The sequence below is a fragment of the Homo sapiens genome, chromosome 3 (assembly GCF_000001405.40).
Source record: "Homo sapiens chromosome 3, GRCh38.p14 Primary Assembly".
NCBI lineage: Eukaryota > Metazoa > Chordata > Mammalia > Primates > Hominidae > Homo > Homo sapiens.
This window is the reverse complement of record NC_000003.12, coordinates 114,381,373-114,405,619: the sequence shown is the minus strand read 5'-3', so window position 1 is coordinate 114,405,619 and position 24,247 is coordinate 114,381,373. Positions and strand designations below refer to the sequence as shown.

At 39.5% G+C, this 24,247-nt stretch overlaps 1 protein-coding gene and 1 long non-coding RNA gene across 19 annotated transcripts in view; one reads left to right on the top strand and one right to left on the bottom strand.

Moving 5' to 3' along the window:
• Positions 1–24,247, top strand: part of ZBTB20 (zinc finger and BTB domain containing 20) — an 832,789-nt gene that overhangs the window by 741,669 nt on the left and 66,873 nt on the right. For 15 of the 18 annotated variants that reach the window (NR_121662.3, NM_015642.7, NM_001348801.3 and 12 more), the window contains one exon: positions 16,515–16,615. The gene's annotated coding sequence lies outside the window, so the exon portion shown is untranslated. Of the gene's footprint in view, positions 1–16,514; positions 16,616–17,496; positions 17,556–18,055; positions 18,122–21,977; positions 22,005–24,247 lie in introns of those variants that run through there. The other 3 variants (NM_001348803.3, NM_001393394.1, NM_001164342.2) reach the window with 3 other exon arrangements.
• Positions 16,642–24,247, bottom strand: part of ZBTB20-AS1 (ZBTB20 antisense RNA 1) — a 37,168-nt gene continuing 29,562 nt past the window's right edge. Inside the window, exons 8-9 of the long non-coding RNA NR_038993.1 lie at positions 18,041–18,197; positions 16,642–17,224 (exon numbers count right to left, since the gene is read on the bottom strand). This is a non-coding gene — a long non-coding RNA (ZBTB20 antisense RNA 1). The remainder of the gene's footprint in view (positions 17,225–18,040; positions 18,198–24,247) is intronic.

Genomic DNA, 24,247 nt, shown 5'->3' with positions numbered 1-24,247 from the left:
CATCATACAAATATATATGTTTGTATATATTGATATATAAATATACACATAAATAAAATTGTATACATATATAAAAGCATTCAGCATTTCTGAGTTTCATTCCATCTTTTACTCTCAAGATATATCATGGCCCATCCCTTAAACCCAGCCAGGTGTTGTCAGAGTTTGTGAAGCTGTTGATGATAAGACCGTCAGACTGAGAGGGATCCTCTAACTGAGAGATTTGGAGGAAGTGAAACTCAAATTGTATACACATTCCTATGTCTTCGCCATTTAGCTATGCCCCATGTTCTCTCTACTAAAATGTAGACATTTTAGCTTCATAATTAATGCAATTAAACTTTATGACACTGTATGTTGCTATATCCAATGACTAAACTTCTTTTAAGAAACAGAGGATCTCTTCTCCTTTATTGGAAAAAAAAAGTCAGACTGTTTTAACACAATTCCTCCCGTACATGGCTACAACTTTTCTCTTACATACCACAGCTTCTATATTGGGCTTGTTCTTAAAGCTAGGATTTTTTTTTTCCTCCTATGAGGACACTGCAACCCTTGAAAGTTTTTCTCTGGTATTCTCTGAGTGCTTCCTAGATACCTGGTTTCAGTGACTCCAGTTATCACAAGGACTAATTTTCACTTGCTATCCATGAAAATTTTCGCTGGGTCAAACTAAGTTGGGTCAAACTAAGCTGCTTCTTGGAAATGGGGCTTATGCTAGTCGTGAGTTGTGTCCAGAGGGAATTCTGAGCAGTAAAAGGAGGCAAACTGAGGGCATTCTAGGTGAAGGGAATTAAACCAGCAGAGAATCAGGGCACAGATGGAAAAGAGCGAGTCATGGGTAACCAGAGTGCCTAGTCAGGATATGATATAAGCTCCGGGTATTGGGTTTTCTGTGTAGCTCCTTTGTTTATGTAAAGCTAGCTCGGCAGGCTCTGGGCCTTCTTGGCTTTGAGGATGCACTGACCTGAGAGCTATGGGGAAAAATAGCCACGTCTGTACACCAGACTATAAAGCCAATATGTACCATTCTCTTTGAAAATGAAAGACAATAACATATGAAACTATTATTGATATAAGCTTTTATTTAGTCTTTTCTAAGATACCAGGGTATTTTTATGACCTGTTTTCTTCCCCTCGGCGTTAGGATGTTTTCTTATACTGCTTCAACTGAAGTAAATTATTCAAACAGAGCTGTTTTGTTTTATTTGTTTGTTTTTGTTTTTGCAGCTTTATGCTTACCAGGGACTTCATAAACAAGTTGAAAGAGAAAAAATAGCCAAGACATAAATATAGAAATAACCCAATCACATAAGCTTTCATGAGCATGGGTGAGGGCCTTGTGGGAAGGATGAGGAAAAATCTTTATTAGTACCAGAATGATCGTGATTACCTTAGGCATAAGTCTGATTTGAGAAGAGACACTGATATACAAAGAAAGGAAGGATTATTCCCCTATGATTTGTCCATGTGTACAAGGAAAAATAGCTTCAGTATTTACTATTTGACTTCTTGAGTCCAGAAACCTAATACTCACTGCAAACTGCATAGGCACGGAGCAGGAGAAAGCAAGTATTTACCAAAACAAGAGGAAAGAGGAATTACTCTTTCATCTCTTCTTACTTTAGAATCATCAAATGTTATTACTGGAAAGAATCTTAAAAACCATCTAATCTAACACTCCCACATTATATATGAGAAAAATGAGACTCGAGAGAAGTTTCATGACTTGCCCAAGGTCACACAACAGATTACAAACGTGGCTGGGGACCCACATATGATAAATAGGTGCCCTTCATTTCTTCAGTTTCTCCATAATCATTTTAGAGAATTATTTGACTTATCCCACCAATGTTGTTTTGTATATCTGGATTATCATCTGGCTTCTCAGTTAATTTTTTTGAAGTGAAGTTTGCTTTATAATAACTGCCAGATTCTATAGCTGATTCTAAAAATTAAAATGTGTTCTCAGACATATCCTGAGTGTTGTACAAATATGGAGACGCTCACTAGATCAACATGTATGCCTCCTTATTTTATATGAATCCTATAATACCTATAAACGTGGCCTGATCATATTAGACTCTTGAAGTTTCTAGAGTTCCAGATATTTGTTGGAGCATATAAATAGGTGAGAGCAGATTTACGCATTTACCCACTCTGAGTCCCTGAGACGTTCCTGAACTGCTGTGCCTTTGTAAGTCAGTTATTCCCACTGCTATCGATATCACCAGTTCCAATTATTACCAATATGGCCCATTACTACAGACTGATTTCTTACTAGGTTCAAAACCAGCTGTACTTGGTGTTTTACTGATATTTTGTTCAGTGTTAGAGGAGAAAGAACATGGTGAGAGTCTGGCATAGCCCAGCTCCCTTCTGTGAAGAAAGAGTCCATCACTGACAATAGACATTCAATAAGTGGTTATTTAAAGAGGTCGAAAAAAGCATCCACCATTTCTCTATTTCAAAATAATCAATCATTTAAAAATATTAACTACAAGCTTCTGATGCAATGTTGTGTGGTTTGTTGTGCCACATATGGTTATGATGATCTACACGTCAGCTACAATCCAGAAATACTCTCATTGTTACAATGCAAAATAATATAATCATCCACTTTTACATTTTAAATGTGTCTGGCCCACCAAGTCCTTGCTTAGGTGCCAGACACACCACTGTGAAGGAACTGTCTGACATAGTATCCTGAAATTTCGGGTAAGTATAATCATCTCCCAGATGCATAGAATAAGCCTGGTTTTTGAGGCAAAGAGAAGAGGCAAACCTCCTGCCCTTCCAGAAGTCAGAACCATTCAGCAATATATTCACAGTAGCTAGGGGGGAAAGCCTTTGTGAAGAAAACTGTTGTGTCTCATGGCTGTTTTTATTAAAACATTTAGTCCACCAGCTTTCCAACTCTACGAACAATTTAATTCACAAAGCACATGAAATAAGCAGAAGAATCTAGTCCCAACAGCCATGTTCCACCTCTGTGATCCTCGTCGTGAGTTAGGATGATTTAGTCGTCAAGATCCCTGCTGTTCTGTGCTTGGATATTTGTGAGGAAAACCTAGAATTCATCCCCTTTAGAAGCCATGTCCATATGGCATGCAGCAAAGACCATTAGAGAACAGTAGTAGGAGTTTTGTTATCAAATCCAGCCAGATTTGCAGATAGGAATACTGAGAAATTAGTATTTTTCCTTCCTCTTCTTCTCTCTTTTCCTTTTTAGCCTTTTTCTTTCTCCTGTTTGCTTCTTCAATTCAATACTCCTTTGTTTATGGATTTGGAGAGTACTCCAAAAGCAAATAAGCCAATCAAATCCTGTTTGGAGGGAGAACAGCCATTTTGACATATAACCATCTCATCACTCCTTTTTATATGCCTAAACAATTGAAGAGCATGTAGCATAGCCAGGTGCTGGTCCTCAAAGTGGGTGTGCCCTAAAACATTCTTTGGTTTGAACTAGTCTAGTCCACTGTTTCATGTTACTGAACAATCAAAAGAGAAAAGAAAGTTTTTCTTCTCTGGTTCTAGACCAAATGACTGGCAGGATGTGATTGCCATCTGTAATTTTCTGCGAAGTCCTTCCCCAGTCCAATTTACATGATATGTACAGCTACTTCACTCTGAGAATGCACACTCAAAAAATACAGCCTTTAAGTGATTTTTCCTAGCATGGGCAAGGTGAAGCAGTGAGGAAATGGACGTATATATGTTATACATTTATATTATTATTCCCCATAAACTTTTAAACTTCCTATCCAGCATTTGTATTTGTTCTCAAACAAATTGGTAGTTTAAAGAAAATCCTACCTTTGTGATTTTTCAAAAATCATTTTTCAGCCTCTCCTATTATTTTTTTTTATTTCAGTAGCCACCTTAATGGGTAGCTGAGTGGGGATCAAGTATAAAAAGACCTCATCATGTATTACAAGCCAGAGAGTGTACTCATGGGAAAAATGTAAGTCCTCAGATGGAAAGTCATCTCCGTCAAAGAAAGTGGCTCGGGCAAAAGTGCCTGACATTACATAGTCTGCATGGTGGAACACTGCAGCCATGTTTTCAGTTGCCTTTCACTCTCTGGAATTTTATGAAATGATCTCGGCCAAGAACCTTTGGAATATCACTCTCTGGTCAAACAAAAAAGAGGACAAAAAAAATCCTTTGAAAGTTGAAGCTAGTTGGTACAAGCTAGCAGACAATCCAGTGAAATTTTCACCCCACTCTGTTTTGGGGGTTTGGGGTTTTTATGCAGTATAAGAGTGTTAGAGAAGGTGTCTGTCTGGTATGGATTGGGATACTTTCAAATACTTTAAAGAAGAATTCTTGTTTTCTACAGTTTATTAAACTAGCTCAGCTAAGTATATTGGTTATCAGATCCCATGATGCATGATTATTCAATATATTTTAAAACACAAAAAAATTCAATTGTGCTGTCCCCTTTCTCCTTCTGTCTCCTCCCTGTCTGTCTCACTGTGCTGTGAAGCATTGGGAGTAGTGTGTGTGTGTGTGTGTGTGTGTGTGTGTGTGTGTCTGGGAGGTAGACAGATTCCCTACCTGGAAATGGCTTGCTATTATTAGACGTTCAGTTACCAGGGGTTATGTAAGACAATTGAAGCTCTGTTTTTTAACAGAGACATGATTCATGCTGCTTGTAGTAACAGTAACCACCTCCAAACGAGACAGAAACCAGACACAGACAAAGGCTGGAGAAATCAATGCCGACTCGGTACAGCCATTCTCCTGATACCCTCTGCCTTTCAATCAGAGCACTTAGGTTATCAGGAGAGGAGGCTCCTGCTAATTCTGGATCCTTTTTGTCTCTTGGGGCTGCCAGGTGAAATCATGTGGGCTGGAGCTGTGTACAGGAGAAAACGGGTCCTCAGGAGCAGTGACGTCTGACCTCCTTCCCTAGGGTCCCCCAGTGTTTCAGACACACCTGGAGGAACAGTGATTGTCACCTGTGTTGTGGCTCAGGATTCACTGTGGCTTCTACTCAGAAAGGTTGGAACTTGAGCATTTGGCTCACCCACTCAAGTAACTTTCCTCAAGTGATTCTCTGCAGCGTGCTGGGAGAGGAGAGGATGGAGTGGGATTTGAGCTGCTGCCAGTGCTTTATTATAGCTTCTCCTAAAACCTGAATGGAAGTGGACTGGCTGTCAGTTCCCACACACATTCGGGACCCTTTCCTAAATCTTCCAGACAACATTGATTCAGTACTCCACACTATACAAAGCACTTCCACATGGATCAGCTTATTTTAGCCTCACAACTTTATAAGATAGGCAAAGCATACATTATTGTCAATACCATTTTACAAGAGAGAGATTTTACAGCTTACAAGTATTATGCCATTCATTGATTCCTTGCTCATGACTTTATAAGTGAGAACAATAAGACTCACAAAAGTTAGTGACTTGGCCATGGTCACACGGCTGGTTCTTACCAGATCCAGGAAGACAAGGCAGATCTTCTGATTCTCCATCTAGTGCTCTGCCCCAGATTTGCTACAAAGCTTGTTGACAACCATGGCATTTTTTGGGGAAAAAAAGCATTTTCTGCTGAAAATCTTGGTTTTAGATTAAGTTCTACTACTCATTAGCTAGCCCGCTTAAACTGCCCTTTCCTTCCTCTTCACCCCATCCACCTCAATCTCCTCATCTATGCAACTCATGATAGGGAGAACTCATTTTTAGAGTGTTCATGAAAGTACCACATAATCTTTAACATGTCTAGGTCAATATATATAAAGCATTGCCAATAGTATCTCCCTGCCCCCACCAAGAGTGAAATCCAGCAAAGAGATCCAGAGATCTCAGGCTTCACCCAGAACATAAAAGTAAACTATTTATTTTTACTACAAAAAGAAGAAACTCAGATACTTTATTGCAGAAACTGCCCATGGCTCTCAGAAAATAGCAGTCTTGCCCCGGTGGCCTGTTACACACCCAATAGGCAGGCCACCCTTCATTTTCACTCTCACATGTGTAAATTGCCCAGAAAGACAATTCTTAAGTATTGACATGACAGGAAAACATCTAGGCCATTTAGCTTCACCCACCCAATAATCTCCTGCAATAAAAATTCCAATTTAAAAAATACTTATTATTGATTACTACTAATAACCAACACTCTGATACACTGTTACGAATTTTAACTGAAGACGGACACAGAATTTTATATTTATGAAATTTTACCATTATCCTTCTATTTCACATGTTAAATAATACAAGCTATACCTATTTTAAGGTAAACACAAGTAAACATTCTTATTTATAAAATAGCTTTTTATTAAATTTTTTGTTTGTATACCGCTTTATATCCAGGAAGGTAGCAAAATACTCCACAGGTTATACTCTAATAAAATGCACTTTCTCTTCTGCTAAAATATGAAATTGCTGCAGTTTTAAGAAAGAAAGCTATACTTTTCTCTCTCACATAATAAAACTCCCTGACTAAGCATCAAGAGACCAAACTTCTAGTCGTAGGCCCACTAAAAATTCACTGTTAGGGAACCTGCTGAGTCCCAACTTCAGATAACATCTAATCTGAAAAACTCAGGGCCCCTTAACATCTAGTTATTACACACTAGCCCGAGACAACCTGCCCTGCGCTGTTGTATGTTGTGTCAATAAAAGAGCTTTATGGGAAAGATGGAATTCATTATTTGGGGTTTTATGTTGTGCCAGTCGTTGCCAAGCTGCCTTGAATTCACCAATGTATTGTGTCTCCAGACTGATTCAAAGAGATAGAATTTGGAATGTGACTAGAAGGCAGTAGCAGATTCTGTAAATAGTTGCTACACATTCTGTATACCAGGCACAATAGCACACAGTGGAACCTCAGACAATACTTACCCTGACTTCCTTAAGTAGGAAAATATCCTTTTTCTTTTCATCAAGTTACCATGATTTAATGATTATGAATGGTAATTTTACCATTGGTATATTCCAGTGATTCCTTTCATGGATCACTTGATGTTCCTAGATTATTTTAATCTTATCGCCATTTGGTGTTAACTAATGCAAATTCTTACTTTCACCTAAGAACGGAGCTGCCTTTGCTCTTCTGTATCTAGCCTTTATCCACATCCTTAGACACACATGGTATCATTTTCAGGGCAATGGCAGTGATGGCGGGTAGTGTTTCTTCCCAATATTGTGATGGAACATTTCACCTGGGCTGTTAGCATCTTAAACTATTCCAATAGCTACAGAAATTGGGTTTTAAACCATCATGTCTTAATGCCATCCATTTCTGTTTATATTAACCGATGACATGGTTATAACATCCTACTGTGCTCAAAAAGCTGGGGTCTCTGTAGTGTATAAAACAAGGTTCCTACCCAAGAGGATGTACACCCTCGCTAATAATATAGCAAACAGGCAGTAAACCATAACCATTTATTGAAGTACTTAAAAAGTGGCAGAAAACATTATGGGCTAAAGCAGTCTTCACAAGGGAAAATTTCATAAAGGATACATTTTTATATATGGACCCTGAAGGAGAAAAAAGTCCTATATAATTTTTTGAAAGGTGATAAAGGTATTCCAAGCAGCCAAACTGGTATATACAGTAGCTCAGAGATAGAAATGTGCTTAGTCTTTCTGACACCCTATAAGTTAACCAGTTTAGACCATGTGGAGTATTAATGGAAAGGAAATCTGAGAGGACTCATTTGATAGGGAGTCAGTGAATTTCCGAGCCCAGGCTTAAGAGTTTGGAACCAGGGGAATCCCTTAAAGCATCTTTTCCCGAAGCATATTCTGAGGTTAAATAAGTGTTCCATTAAAAAGGGGGATGGGGGAGTCTGTAATCCGGTAAGCCTGGACAAAGATTAGGCTTCCAGCACCTTAATATCCTGTGTACACTTGCGAGTTTGAAAATAGAATATATAGTTTTCAGTGTTTCCTAAACTTACTTGACTGAGGAACTTTTTTTGAGATGCATCTTGAAGTTCCAGTATGAAACACACTTTAAGATACACCATCTGAAAAGATTTTTGAAGGGCAGGAGTTGAATGCGGGACAAAAAAAAAAAAGGTATGTGGTGATGATTAATCTAGTACTATTAGAAATTGATATGCTATCAGCTACAGAGAAAGTATCCCTGATGAAACCAAAGGAAGATAAAGAGAAGTAGAGAGAATAACCTTCAAGATACGAAGGGAACATGGGAAAAGATATATCCTGAGGAAATAAAATAATGAAAATTCAGAGATATTAGAGGAGATGAGAGCTAATAAGCTTACCACACTGCATGGTGTAGATCCTTTTATTAAACTAGGATGCTAGCTCATCAACTGAAAAAGAGAATGGGACTTCATAAAGGAGAACAAACTAAGAAAAACTGCCATAGGTTGTACCTGGAAACAGTGGGCAGGAGCATAGGTCCAGGTAGCATGCATGTGTAGCCTTTTGTTCTGAGAGTGGGAGCAAATGGAGAATGGTGATACAGATTCACAGTTGATGAATGTAAAAGGAGGCACTGCACATAGAAAGTTAGAAAAGGAAGGAAATCTGCATGGTTACTGAGGACAGTGTTGAAATGGTTGATCATGGGGCAAGATCAAACTGGACAAATACATCTGGTAAGGCCAACTGGGGCCTACTAATGAACCAGCTGAAAACAATAGGTTCCTTGGGCTTCTGGGAAAGTGAGTTCAATAGCTGGGTGTGGAACATCTGATGTCAAATGTGAGGCCTCAAAAGAGTAATTTAGAAGGAGTATGAGAGCTAAGAAAAGGGGTGATAAAGTCTGTTGAAAAGAAGTGTTAATGAGTTTTTGGATTAAATTATTAATACAGGGAGGGAAAACATAAATCAAGTGTAGAAGGTTTTGAGAAATTTCAAGAAATATTCAAGAAGACATGAGAGAGCCATGAAGAAGAATCTAGCCTAAGCCAATGGTGGGGATCACAAATGAAGAGGAGTGGAATGAAGGCAGATCAGTGGTTTGGTGATTGTGAGCCTGGTATAGGTTAAGCTCTAGAACATGTGGTTAGAACCTGGCCCTTAACTCTGCTTTGCTACCCTCTGCCTTCATGACTGATGACCAATAACTGTACCTTTCCTGAGTATCAGTTTCACCTCCTTCGTCTATAAAATGGGAATATAATTCCCAACTTCAAAGAGTAATTGTAAGAAAATAAAGTTATCTGTGAAAAGGCTCAATGCCTGCCACACGGTAAGCATTTAGTCAGTAATAGCCAAAGTTACTATTGAAGTGATGGGAGCAGGAAGAGGGAAATGATGTTCACTTTGGGAACAGTGACAGAGTGTGTTATCTGGAGTAATGCCACTGTGATGTTTCTCTGTACCTTTTTTTCCATTTACCACAAACTATAATGGTTAATTCAGAACACATACTCACTGTAAGAGGTAAGGTATAGGAAACTCTGATAATACCAAATAAAATGCTGTGTCATAAATCATGCTCATGTTAGAATTCTCATTACAAAGTTTAAAACGATCTTATTAACATGACCTGTGGCAGGCTTTCTGGATAAGAAGGTTCCAGTATCCGGTGACATAATAGAGGGGTTCCCATCACCAGGCCAGATTCATTAATACCAGAAATTCATGATTGTGTGTGTGGGTGTGTGGGTGTGTGTGTTTACATGTACTCTGATCCAAAAGATCTCTTATTTTAAACAAGAATCAACTGTATCTGATAATGCTAACGCTCATGGCATGGGATGTGCAACTTATATTAACAGAGTTTATGAACTGTCAAAGAGGAATCAAGAGGTCTCTATGGAGAAAATTAACATAGATTTAATGTGACAAACAGTGGGATTGTGATTCCACCTTGTGTTGGCAGGGCCATCCCAGGGGTCTTCAAGCCATCAGAGGTGTTTCTTATGGACATGGGTATTAACTAGTGGTTAATTAAGGAACTAAAACCTAAAAAGTAAAATAGTTATCACAGCATCAGTAAGCTGACGATGGTGTTCCTGATTAGTTTATCTGGCCGTGATGTCTTTGGTGCCTTATTCATTAAATGGTTTTCTCACCACTTTCCAGAGAGGTGGGGCTGGTGACGTAGACTTGGGAATTTGTTTCGGGTAATTAGCTAAAAAGTTAAAAGTCAAATAGACTTCCTTAACATGTTTAATGGTTTAACAGGTTGATGAGCTACTTAATTCCCACATCTTCCTTCTCAGGGGACTATTAGAGTTTTAAGGGACCTTAAAAATCATAAAACCAACCTCCTCTTTTTGCAGATAGAAAAGCTGAGCCACCTAGAGGTTAAATGTCTCATCGGAGGTCATCAGCTAGTCCTGATTTTGCTTTCTCTTTTCTTATCTTACACTTTCTAACTCTTTTTTTTCTAACATTGTATTCCCCACAATGACCTCTCTGCTAAATATTTCTTAGATGTATCCTTTTTATGAAATTTGCTGTGCCTCAAATTATGATAGTGGGCCTTTGCCAATTAGTAACCCGTCCCCACTAACTCACCACTACATTTGGGGCAAAGAAACGAGGGAAGTGGAACAATTTTAAATTTACTATGATCTTTGAGACAGCTTTATCTTCACCTGGGAATTGCTGTTAGACAATTAAGGTTAGTAAAGCTCATTGAATTTCTCAGAGGGAAGGTGTTATTTGAATTATTACCAGATAATTATTGTTAAAAATAACAATAATGTAAAAAAATAGGAACTTTACATGTTAGAGACATTATCATTTTGAATTTCCAGAGAGAGGGGAAAACCCTTGGGGATCTAAAAACAATTTTTTGACAGTGTGCTCTATGCTAAGAACTCCTTGAATTCTGTGTAATGCCTGATGACCTGACAAACTGGCCTAGAATCAGAAGCCAGTCGGCTGGCTGTGTGAACTGTTAGCCAAGTTATTTGGCTTGAACTGCTCCTTCAAAAACAACCCTAGTAGAAAGGAGAGTGTCAGAAATAAGACCTGTGGTCCCAGACCAGTAGCATCAGCATCACCTGGGAGCTTCTCAGAAATGCAGGATCACAAGCTCCACCCCAGACATGCTGAATCAGAAGCCCTGGGTGATTCGTTTGTTCATTAGAGTTTGAGAAGACTGTTAGAGGACATTCTCATCTGCAATTAGAAAGGAGGAGGGAAGGGACTATACTTATTGGCAGTTTCTGAAATAGTTCCTTCTCCTGGAGTCTGTGCTCCCAGATCTTTCCAGTGGCTCTGAACCATCGTGGAAATAAGCATCTTCCTTGTACTGTGATCACAGCGGGAACTAGAAATGTGTCCCGTGTCCATGCTGCATTGGAACAGTTGTTATATAGTGAAAAGAGTACAGATTTAGACTCAGAGAGATCTGGGTTTGGATTCTGGCCTCACTATCCAGTAGCTTTCTAAACTTCGACCTGTTACGTAAGCCCATTAAGTCTCACTTTTCCTTATCTGTAAAATGGGTATACTAAAACATACACCATAGCATTGCTATGAGGGTTAAACAAGAACATACTCATTTATAAAAATGCCTGGTGCAGTCCCTGATAAAATTTAGACATCCAATAAATGCTAGCTGTTATTGTTACTATTACCTTTCTTGTAAACTTTAATCATGAACCCCCCATCTATAATTTTAGAACGATGTGGTGTGATTTCCTAGGACTGGGACAGGCCATACTCAAAGTAGACATCTGCAGAAAGTTCCTTACATTGATATGTGGCAGTGTATTTCATAACAGCTCTGCTCTCTAAGGGCTTCCAAGACAGATCTGCAGAAACGCCAACAATGAAACGGGCTGTAGAGAAGTGACCTACTGTCTGTTCGCCTCTGACACCATCAAGAAACTTGCCAGCTGGGTTCCAAGAGCAGATTCTTTATTACAGTGATGATGTAAGAAGCAGAGACAACAGCTGGATTTTCAGGTTCTAGGGAGAATTTGTGGCATCAGCAGCCCCTCAAAATTATCTTTTGACTTAAAAACCGAGTACACTGGATATGAAAGTCATTAAAAGAGAATAAATGTGAAACCCCATGAAGTCATTCTCACCGAATCTTTTTTAGAGTGTAACCACCCTTTAAGCAATAAAACATGACACACCATGCAGTGGTTCTGATTAATAGACGCTCAGGTGTGTACTAAGGCAAAAGGGGAAAGAAGATGGAGCTAGGTGACACTTTGCCAAAAATGAAAGTAAGATTATAGCAGCAGGATGTGGGACTGAGAAAGAAGGATTTAATTAAAGGACAGACATACTATGGTTGTATTAATTATAAAATGCACAATGTAAATCAGATTTTAGATATATTTAAAATGTACATTTATATAATTACACAAAGGATTTGTAAATTTGCCAGATAATTTTTCACTGCAATGTACTATTGATGAGTGATTTCCTTTATGATTTTAATGTAGTTGCCAGGGGGCAAAAGGAGAAGTAAGTTCTATCTGGTGAAGTGTCAATAATCTGTCCAGCCTTATGATGGGTTAGAAAGAACAATGAAGAGCTCTTGAGCCCATTTTGCTGTTTGTGTGGCTGCTGGGGTGATGCTATTTAATGGATGTCTCAATGCGTAGCATGGCTCCACCATACTGGCCAAAAAGAGTTTGATTAATGCTACCTACCAAGGTTTTCCTCTGGTGAGTAACAGTGAGTCAAGCGCTCACCTGGGAGATGCAGATGAGGTCTTGTAGTATTGGAGCTAACATTTAAGAGCTGAGCTTTTCTGGCCAAGTAATAATTACTGAGATTCCCTGGAAAAGTCTGTTTTCCTCACCTAGGTAAACACTATTATCCCCACAGCATGTTTTGTTGGGCTTTTCATCTTTGGGTGAGAGAAAATGATTCTGTTTGAGGATAAGGATAGAGAAGAGAAACAACTAATGTTTCCTCTACTACAAGAGAAGAACAAGGCAAGAAAATTTGAACAGACTCAGAGGCAATTGTCTATGCATTTCTACAAGTAAATTAGTAATATAAGGAAAGAAAAACAAGTAAACATTTAAACAAACCTAGAGAATGAGTACTAGGCTAAGCTAGGTGGAAAAAGAAGTGTTAATGTGGCATAATAGCAGATTGCCAATAGTTTGTTTCTACAAAGTAATGAATTTAACCACGGAATTACTGCATGTTTTCACCAAGAACTCCAGCTGAACACACAGCTTTTCCAAAGCATGAGAAATTTCTTTATTCTTATTTTCAGCCTGAGTTTATCACCCCAGTGGTATTTTTAACATTTTATTTGTTTTTAATTTTTGTGGGTACATAGTAGGTGTATATATTTCTGGGGTACATGAGATGTTTTGATATAGGCATGCCGTGTGAAATAATCCCATCATGGAGAACGGGGCATATATCCTCTTAAGCATTTATCTTTTGTGTTACAAACAATCCAATTACCCTCTTTTAGTTATTTTAAAATGTACGATTAAGTTATTATTGACTATAGTCACTCTGTTGTGCTATCAAATAGTAGGTCGTATTCATTCTTTCTATTTTTTGTACCCATTAACCATCCGCACCTCCTCCCCAGTGGTGTTGACAGTATTGTCATAATTATTTCTGCTGGTAATGTTAGAAAACTTTGCTTCCTTGTTTTTTAAATCCACCCTCATTTTTTAGACAACATTTAACTATAAAACATATTTATTAGTTCGGTTTGTTGAAGCAAATAAATGAAGCAAATTTGTTATATTTTGGAACACAATATATTTTTGCAGGTTACACACCCCAACCTCCCTCTCTCTGGTCTTGTCATTACTGATGATCTGTTGGGCCTATTGGTGCCAAGTAAGCACTGATAAATATTAGTCTGTGGCCTTTTATGTCTGTTATCCTTGCCCAGCCACTAACAAGGATGCGACCTTGAGCAAGTCAGTTCCCTTCATCTCTTCGTCTGAAAAATGAGGGGGTTGAAGCAGATGAGCTTTTAGGTCTTTTCAATTTAGTCCCCGTTTCTATGACTCAAGGCAAGAGGGTTTATTCTTTTTAAATTCAGTTCAGCAGATTATCAGCCTAGTGCAAACTTAACGTGCAAGAAGTCATGGCCCACTATAGGGTACTCAGAGTAAAAATTGTCTCAGCTTTCAAAGGGCTTATGAAGAAGGAAGACAAATTACACAAATAACCATTCTAATTGGTAGAATATGCAAAGGGAGTAGTACAGAATGTGCTAATAATATTTAAGAAGGGCACTCTCCTTTGTGAAATGCTTCATAAATGAGGTGGCATTTGGATGGCCCTTGAAGAAGCTACATGTAGACATTGAAAGAAAGGAAGAAATACCATGAACATGGTAGGAAAGAGTAGGACTTTGCTGGAGCGTAGAATGGAGTGTAGAGATAAGAGTGAGAAACTAGATTGGGCTACATTGTAGCAGCTTTGAATACCAAACTGAGAAGTTTGAATTTAATCCAATAAGCAAGGAGGACTGTAAGCAAAGAAGTGATATGTTTAGAAGGGCACTTTAGAAAAATTAATGTAATGTTTGTGTGAAGGATGGACAAGAGGTAAAGAAAAACTGGAAAAGTGAAACCAGTCAGGAGCTTTTCATAGATGTCCTCACAGTAGGTAGCAAAGGGAGAAATAGGGGCTGGTATAGAAAACAGGTATTGATTCAGGAATCACAATCAGAGTAGAATCTACAGGATTGGGTAGCTAATTGGATATAGGAAGAAAAAAAAAACGGAAGAATTGAAGATGACTCCCCAGCTGTAGGCCCACGTAACTGGATGAAGAGAATACCAATGGCAGGAAATGGGACGTCTAGAGAAGGAACAGATTTTAAAGGAAAGACAATGAATTAAGTTCTAAACTTTCTGAATTAGAAAAGCCTGTGTAGTATTTGATGGCGATGTGAACTTCTCAAAGTTAGAGACCCTGTTGTATTCATCCAGGTGCCTCATAGATGCTATATAAACACTGAATGAATGGACAAAGGAACGAATGAACCAATAACCAGCTGTTATTTAGAATGTGGGTGTGCAGCTCTGTAGAAAAGCTAGAACTAAAGATAGCAATGTGGATGCTCTCCATGGAGAAGTGATTGTTGAGGTCAGGGAGGACTGGGGTAGACAAAGCCTGAGGAGAGGATCTAGAGGAATGTCTACATTTAGAGAACAGAAGAAAGAAAATAAGCCAGTGAAGAAGGCAGAATAGCAGACTGAGGTATAGGGGAAAAAATAGGGTAATTCGGTGTCCTCAGGGTTAGAGCCTATGGAAGAAAATGGAGCCTTTGCAGTGAAGGACAGAGGGAATGCTCAGAACATGCCCAGATCAATGGGTGTCACTAGAATACATTAAGAACTAAGCAATAAAGAGAGAGACTGAAATGAAATCAAGAATATCAGAAATGTGGTAAAAGTACACAATGGAACACTATTCAGCCTTCAAAAAGAAGGAAATCTTGTCATTTGCAAGAACATGGATGAATCTAGAGGTCATCCATGATATATGGGGAAAAAATAGGCTTTTTTTTGTACTAGAAAAGCCAGGCACAGAAAAACAAATACCACGTGACCTCACTTATATGGGGAATCTATAAAAGCTTAATTTATAGAAGCAAAAATTAGAATGGTGGCTGCCAGACGCTGAGGAGACATCAGTCAAAGGACACAAAATTTCGGTTAGACAGGAGGAATAACTCCAGAGATGTACTGTACATCCTCATGACTATCGTTAATAAGAATGTAGTATATATTGAAAATTACTGAGAGTAGGTTTTACGTGTTCTCACCATGAAAAAGTGATAAATACATGAGGTAATTCTTTTTTTTTTTTTTTTTTTTTTGAGATGGACTCTTGCTCTGTTGCCAGGCTGGAGTGCAGTGGTGCAATCTCGGCTCACTGCAACCTCCGCCTCCCGGGTTCAAGCGATTCCCCTGCCTCAGCCTCCTGAGTAGCTGGGACTACAGGCGTGCGCCATCACGCCTGGCTAATTTTTTTGCATTTTAGTAGAGACGGGGTTTCACTGTGTTGGCTGGGATGGTCTCGATCTCCTGACCTCGTGATCCTCACACCTCGGCCTCCCAAAGTGCTGGGATTACAGGTGTGAGCCAGCACACCCAGCCGGTAATGCATATTTTAATTAGTTTGATTTAGCCATTCCACAATGTATACATGTATCAAAACATGTTTTATACCATAAATATATACAATTTTTATGTGTGAATAAAAAATAAATAAATATAATAAATGAAAAAAAAAAGAAAAGGATACTAGAAGAATCAACTGTGGGAAGGTTGAAGGACACTGTTTCTACTTCCTTCCCCCACTGTCACCCACAACTCAGCTTCTAAGTCAGAACCACAAAATCAGCTCCGCCCGCACTGACAGGGTACTGTTGATGTCCCAGGCTGCACAGGCAGTTAGGTGAAAGCACTGAAAATGGAGCCTGGACAACATCCTCTCCATTCTCCCTTCCGTACCTCGCCATTCTCTGGTGCAAAGATGTAGAACCAAACAACCAACCTCTCACTCAAGTCCCAAAGTTCTTTCCTATCAAAATAAATAATTGCCATCACCATCACCTGTTCATTTAACAACCTTATTTTTGTTTTTTGTCTGATCTAGATGCAGCCGCTCTCTGCTCCCTGCCCCAATGAACATCTGCACTAGGCCCAAGCCTTGGAGTAATTTACCTGAAGAGTGACACCATTGATTTTGAAACTACTGTGAGTACATTATGTCTCCAATAAAAGGCTTCTTAGTTCACTTTGTTTAATACACACACACACACACAGAAAATTGTGAAAGCAGGCAAAATTTTAGATGGCTTCATTTCTTGGATCAGCAGGGTAACCAGACTCAGTCCTGAGGTGCCCACAGCGGTTCTCAACTTCCCGGCTGCAGTGCACACCATGTGCATTATCATTCCCTCCTGGCCAGATGGCTGTGCTGAGCTGTATCTGAGCACACCTTGCAGGGACTGGTGCTGTTCTGCTTGGTCATCTGTGCCTCTATGTACGGTGGTGGCAGCTTCTCCTAATCTGTTTGCTTCTCATCATCCTTCCGTGCCACTGTTGAATCTCATGGTAGCTTGTCATTTCTTGCCACCCTGGTCAAATCTGTGACCAGCAGCTTTGCTTGGTTTTATTTACCTGTTGTCTGAGCTGCAACCCATGCTGTTGTCTCCTTGCTGCCCTTCCCTTGGAGCTCTGGCCTCCTTCCACCACATCTCTAAGCCACTTGTATCCAGCTCACCTCTGCTCTCTGGATGTATGGGTCTGTGTAGTTGATTTAGTTCCCGCCATGCAAGGCATTTATGTAGGAGAAGTAGAGACCTTGCAAGGAAAAGTACAGAAATAATTTGGGGTAGGGGATATGATACCTATGGGAAAATACTGATGAAAGTTTGATATCAAGTATTCATTAATCATTGCTGAAATAACAGATGAATATATGCTATTTTCCAATAGAAAAGCCAGTCATTTGAATTATTTAGAAGTTCTGCATGCAAAGTAACTTAATTACACATTTTAAAACAATAACTAGTTGTTATATTCACAAGTTTTCCTATATGTTATGAGGCAGGTAATGGGATGGTGTTTTACAGACTTCTATGTTACTGGAAAACGCTAAACCTGGGAGACTAACATCCCTCTTAGGCTTCAGGTAGGATATTTACATTCATATTTCTATGTCTTTAGCTATTCTGGTATAAATCAAACCTAAAGGGATGAAGCCAGAGTTTTGCTTTATTTTGTGTTGCTTTTTTACCTTTAATGCTTCCAGTCAACTGAATCATAGTTGATGGGGGCTGCTGTGTAGGTGATAGACAGGCCTGCCTTTCCCGGAGGGGAATGTGTTCTATAGTACTAATAGGACTGAGTTACTGGGGACTAAAGACATGACAGAAGATCAAACATAGTTTCTTCAGTCCACACCCACACAAGGAACTTACTTGTATATACCTTCATTCATCCTTAAGTTCAAGTGCAAGGAATACCCGAGAAATTCCCACATCTGGATAGTTTTCTGAGTTTTTCTTCATCACAGAGTAACTATGCTGATACAGATAACACAGCCTTACTATGATGCAGATGGGTTTAAAAGTTTCTATATCCTTTAAGAGGGAAAAGAGTTCTTATCACTCTTACCTTCCTGTGCTACAGAGAACCCAGATCCAGACCTAGAAATCAGGAGCTGATGTTGCCTACAGATTACAGAGAAGTCCACAAGTGAGCATGTATTCCTGTCGTAGGAAGTATTTCATCTGTGCAGAATGCCAGTGCCTGCTTTTACTTCTCATGGGCCCTAGAGAATGGACAGACTGGGTTATAATCTTTGCAGTCTTTGCTATTCAGAAACTTGGCTTTCCAATGCATAAAAGAGAAATAATAATAATAAAACAGAAACTTGCTAGGTGCAAAAATCAATAAAGAGGATAAAAAATTAAAATGTGAATCATTTACAGAAGTATATCTCTTCTGGTGGGTTGACAATGCTTCGGGCCTAGTCACAAGGCTTGGAAGTGGGTTGGGGAGGCACATATTAAATTTTAATACCTACCCACCCCCCCCATACCACCTGCACAATAATGCTCAGTGGCCCTGCCTACTTAACCAGATTATTGTGATAAGTCAATGAGATGATATATATATAAAGTCTGTCACGGCAGAGGTGAGTATATTTACTCAGTCATTTAAAATTTGCTGACCATTTACTATGTGCCAGACACTGTTCTAGGAACTAGGAATATGGCAGCAAGCAAAACAAACAAAAATCCCTGCTCGGCTGAGCAGCATTCTCTTTTCTTGCTCTGTGAATGGCAATTCGACATAATAGGTACATGGAAGCTAAGACAGAACCTATTTTATTTTGTTCTGTCTTTCCTTCCAGAAAGTATAATTGAAAGTATAAGAGAGAAGAACACATATGTTGATTAGTCTTGCCACCCCATTCTACCCCCAAAAAAACCCCAGAACCATTCTTTTGCCCTGATGTGTGACCCAGAAGACTGGCCTTCTGGACTACATTACCCAGGCTCTCTTGTCCTTGGGCTTCCCTTTGAATTTGGCCAAAAGGAGACATCAGCAGGAGATGTGAAAGTGGGGGAAGAGAGAGGTCAGGAAATGTGTTAGTTCAGCCCTCCTTCCCAACTCCAATTCTGACTGGACTCAGAATTCATCACCATTTTACTTGCCCCTTCAGTTTAAATGGTTTAAAGCTTTCCACTACTGCTAGTACCTGGCAGTCTCTACTATTGCTAGTACCTGGTGCTATCTCTCTTGAGGTCCCTTAACCTCATCTGCAGCTCCAAATACAGTTTTTTCATTAAATCCTCTTTAGCTAAAAACTTTGCATGTGCCATCTATTTTTGCCAGGATCCTGACTGATACAGTTAAGAGGAAATTATACTGAAAAAAAAATTATAAATCAGCCCTGCCAAGGTTAAAAAAAATAAGATTGAGAAAATAAAATGTGTTTAATCACTAAAATATCTTAAATTGATGTGAGGACATCAGACCAGGTAGAGAAATGATAAATTGCAAGAAAACACGATAAGCCAGAGTCCCATAGGTTGGTCTCAATGAATAGACCATAGTGTCCAGGCTTGATGGGCTTCTATAGGCTAAGTGCAGCTTGCTCAACCCTCAGCTTCAAGGAGCTCATGGTGTAGTGTAGCCACAGCAATGACAAACATGTGAGCAGAAAGGAGATGTCAGGAAGTATACAGCAAGATCAAATGTTGAGGAAGAGATTGCTGGTCCTAACATTGTTTCTGCCTTTGCTACAATAACAATCCATTTGCCCCTACCCAAAATCTAGATATCTAAACAGATTACTGAAATGAAGGGAAATGTCTTCTTTTTCTTTTGTTTTTTTCTTGCTCCAGGCTGCAGTGCAGTGGCGCCATCTCGGCTCACTGCAACCTCTGCACTCCCGGGTTCAAGCAATTCTCCTGCCTCAGCCTCCTGAGTAGCTGGGACTACAGGCATGCACCACCATGCCCAGCTAATTTTTGAATTTTTGGTAGAGACAGGATTTCACCATGTTGGCCAGGATTGTCTCGATCACTTGACCTCGTGATCCGCCCGCCTCGACTTCCCAAAGTACTGGGATTACAGGCATGAGCTACCACCCCTTGCCCGGAAATGTCTTCTTAAAGCTAACATGATGAATATCACAGAACTAACAATCCCTATGAGAGGAACTACCATTATTGAGCTCTTACCATGTGCCAGCACAAGGCAAATCACTTTACATGGCTTATCTCATTTGTTCCTCACAATAACCCTAAGCGGTAGGTATTATTATTCCCATTTTACAGATGAGGAAAATGAGGCTCAGAGATGCGGAGTAATCTACCCAGGACATACAGCTAATAGGTAGTGGAGCGCAGTTCCGCTACCACCCTTATTGGGGTGGTTTGTTACCACCTACCCTTTCTCTCCTGCCCAGATACTAAGCCTATTTAATGTATTGTTGGGGAAAAGAGTAGGGAAATTGTTACGACTCCAGTAAGATTGGGGGAGGCATCACTGGTCTAAATTATCATGAGCCAATAGGAGGTTCCAACTAATTTTTTCCTATCTGATAAGTAACAGGCACATTACTTACCAGATAGGAAAAGACCAAGCTGATAAGTAAAAGGCACATTAACGTGCAAGAGAGGGTGGGAGCCCAGTGAAGAGAGAAAATTGGGATAGGGTGAAAGAAGAGAGCACTCTCAACACCCTGGAGACTGCTAAGAGCTCACACAGATAAAATATTTATTTTTCCATATGTTGCAGAAAGCATTGCCATCACTGTATGTGTGCAATATGTGCAAAAGAGTGTGAAATATATACATCAAATGCCGCCGATCTGGTTAATTTCCATGCATTTAACATGCTTAATACCTACCATATCATCAATATGTTTTAATGCATATTTCTTTCCACATACAATATGGTCTAGTTAGGAAAGAGCCAACATCCTCCACAGCCTTACTCACTGCTATGTTTCAGCCTAAAACTTCTTGCTGGGGCCAGCACAATGAGAGTTAAAAACCAGAAGGCTCTGCTGGCTAACTCGGCCGCCAGTCTCCTTAAAACACACTCCCAATTCTTGAAGCAGCCTTTTCTCATAACAGAAATGTTTGCAGTGAGGAGATGAAAATGTTTTTGTTCTCCTTGGACAATTGAGAGATGTTCAGTCAGAATGTCAGAACTGACCGTTGAAAGGCGGGTGCCTGCGGCCACGCTTTTTTGCCTTTTTTTTTTTTCTTTTTTTGAATGCAGAGCTCCACCAGTGTGGCGGGAGGAAGTGCACAATGATTGGTCTGTTTCTCTGTGGAAGTGTTCAGGGTACACCCAGTTTTGCTTTGCATATATTTGCGAAACATCTGCCCTTTTCTTATTCTTAAGTCCTTCCCTGTCACCAGCCCCCTTTTCCTTTTTCCCTGGTTTCTTTCTTTGTTGTTGTTGGCTTGTCTAACTTTTTCATTGGAGCTTTCATTTTCCGGTTGAGGGGCGACTTCATCAGAGTGTATAATTTTAACAGAGAGAGAGGAGGAAGGGGTTGGAGAGAGAGAGAGAGAGAAAATGAGAGAGAGAGAGAGAGAATGAGAGAGAGAGAGAGAGAGAGAGAGAGAATGAGAACTGAAAAGAAAGAGACTGAGAGGCCAGAGCCTGGCAAATCAACCTTTGGCATGGTGACCAGGAGGAAGGTTCTGGTCGGGAGTTCGCCTCTCTGAAATCCGCTGGAGTCAGCCAGTGTGCTGCTGCCCTCTAAAGGCTCCAGGGAATAGTGCATCGCCACAGAGGCTTGAAAAGACTTGCCCTCAGATGTGCCATGTTTATAATTCTTTTTATACAGCCTCAAAATGTATTTTCAACTAATTATGACAGGGCTTATTCTTTCCTCCTTAATAAACTATGAACTGCAAAAATGGGGTCAATTCACAGCACCTGTGCATGTCTAGACGTAAACGGGTGCTATGTTTTAGGGTTTCTCAGCTCCGGAAAAAGGAGTCCGAAGAACCATTAGAGAGGGTGAGACAGGACATGAATTGCTTCTGAGGATGGTGAGCAGTTCTCTATTATCTGGACAGTTGGGAAACAGCCCAGTGGTATAAGGGTAAGTAAAGTGATATAAGACAAATAAGGGGGTGAGCCAAAAAGGTTGAGTTGCTAACATTTCCTGTTTATAGAGGTAGCTCCAATGCCTCTGTGCTATCAATATTCTCCCAAAGTGATCACTGAGGCAACAGGAGGGTGTGATACAAGATGTCAGGTAGGAAACAAGAGCGAATCTAGGGAAGGAAACAAGGGCATTGATATGAAGAACAATATAATTTTTGCAGTGTTAAAAATAAAAGAGTAATATATTGGTGGTTTTGCTATGTCCTTATGTTTGAAAGAAAGCTTTCTTAATTTTCTGAAGCACACATCTGAAAGTATCCTAGGCCCTGTCTATGAATATCAAAAATAAACACTTTTTTCTGCTAGGTGACATATGTCATTACTGTTTTGACCCTATATTTAAATGAATCATGAGGGCCAGCCTAGCCTTACTGAGCAAAATAGTCCTGCTCTTATTAAATACCCCTCACAGACTTAAAGCAAAAGCAGCCAGTCAGGTAGTTTTGCTACCTTGCTGCATAAAAAGTAGGAAACTTAATTGGGATTCAGACTATGACCGTTCTTAAAATACACTTTAATTTCAGCTTCATTTCATTCTGTCCACAATCAATTATTGAATGACAGCTTTGTCTAAGCTACATTGCTTAATAGTATAGACAAGGCAGTAAACTCTGGGAGGGAAGGAACCAGTCCTGTTTTATTCTTTAGCCCATGTTGGCACATCATGGGTACATCATAAATATTTGTAAAATGAATATGTAAATGAATGAATGACAGGAGAGAAGGAAGAAGAAAAGAATAGGTGAACACTAGGAATACTAAAATAACTAAGACATTTCCTTACCTTCAGAGAGCTTACAGTCTCACAAGAGGGATATGCACATAAATAGCCATTATTGAAATAAAATTGAGTGAGTGAAATAAGATTAAGAAAAAAAAGAGCTTAGGCATTTCGGAGAAAGACCTAGGGAGGAATTCACTGTGGGGAGTGAAGTCCTACCTGGCAGAGAGGAATCAAGACAGTTATAAGATGAAGACACCATTTAATAAGTATGAAGGATAATAAGTATGATTTCAACAGGGCAGAGATGAAATATGGGATATTCAAAGTAAGAGAAAACTTGAGCAAAGATGTAGAGCCCAGAATGTAGATTCCCAGGATGTTCTGGAGGATATTCAAGAAATCTGAGGGTACAGTATGGCCAATATACAGGACACATGAGAAAAGTTAGAAGAGATACGGAACTGACCTTGAGTGTCAGGCTAATGTAGTCATCTTAGATTTAGTGAATGCAAAGAAACAGGACTAGAGGAGTGAAAGAGGTTGGAGAGCCAGTTAGTAAACAATCAGCTAGATAAAAAGCAGTAGGTGATTGCAGTGAAATTGGAATGGAAACACAGATGTGAGAAAAAATATGAAGGAAGCAGAACTGTAAGAACTTACTGATGAATTGGCTTTAAGGCAGAGGAAGGTGTATAGTGACCCTGAGGTTTCCAACCTGGTGGTAGACAACAGTGATAGAGATATGGACCTTAGAGAAAGCATTGGTTTTAATAAAGGAGTTGGGCTTTAGCAACTTTGATCTTGGCTACATCTTTAAACTGAAAATCAGAATACCAGCTCCTTCAGGGTCCATGTAGACACTCAAGATTTGGGGGTTACTCCCATAGTCACCATTCAAAAATCAATTGATAAGGTCTTATAATTTGTTGCTTCTCTTGTATTGGCTTCCTCCATACTGAAAAAGATGTCTGAAAGCCTCACCTCTATTCTAATCTTTGCCATGCCATCTCTGCCTCCTGCCCTCTGAAGAAACAGATTTTATTTCACAACCTGTTGGACTGAAAACACAGCATACTAATCATAACACCATATTCTGCGAGGGCAGATTTAACTACCCAGCACAACAAATTTAAATACAAAATATTCTGCATAACAAGTACATTACCATGCTCACAGAAACAAGGGAAACATGGAAACAAATCTACTTACAACAAATTCTGTACCACACATAGTCTTCTACAAATAAAATAAATGCTTTTTCTGGTCATGTCCACATAATGATAGAAAAAGACACAAATCCAAGGGAATTGGAGAAATGTTCAGGAACTATTACTAATAAACCAGTTTGGCTGTGGTCTAGGGTCTGTGTAGTATAAGCTAAGTATTTGTTAATTTCATATCAGTTGCATTGTCCTGGGGAGAGGAGACCTGAGCTGACTGATAGCTGTGCTGTT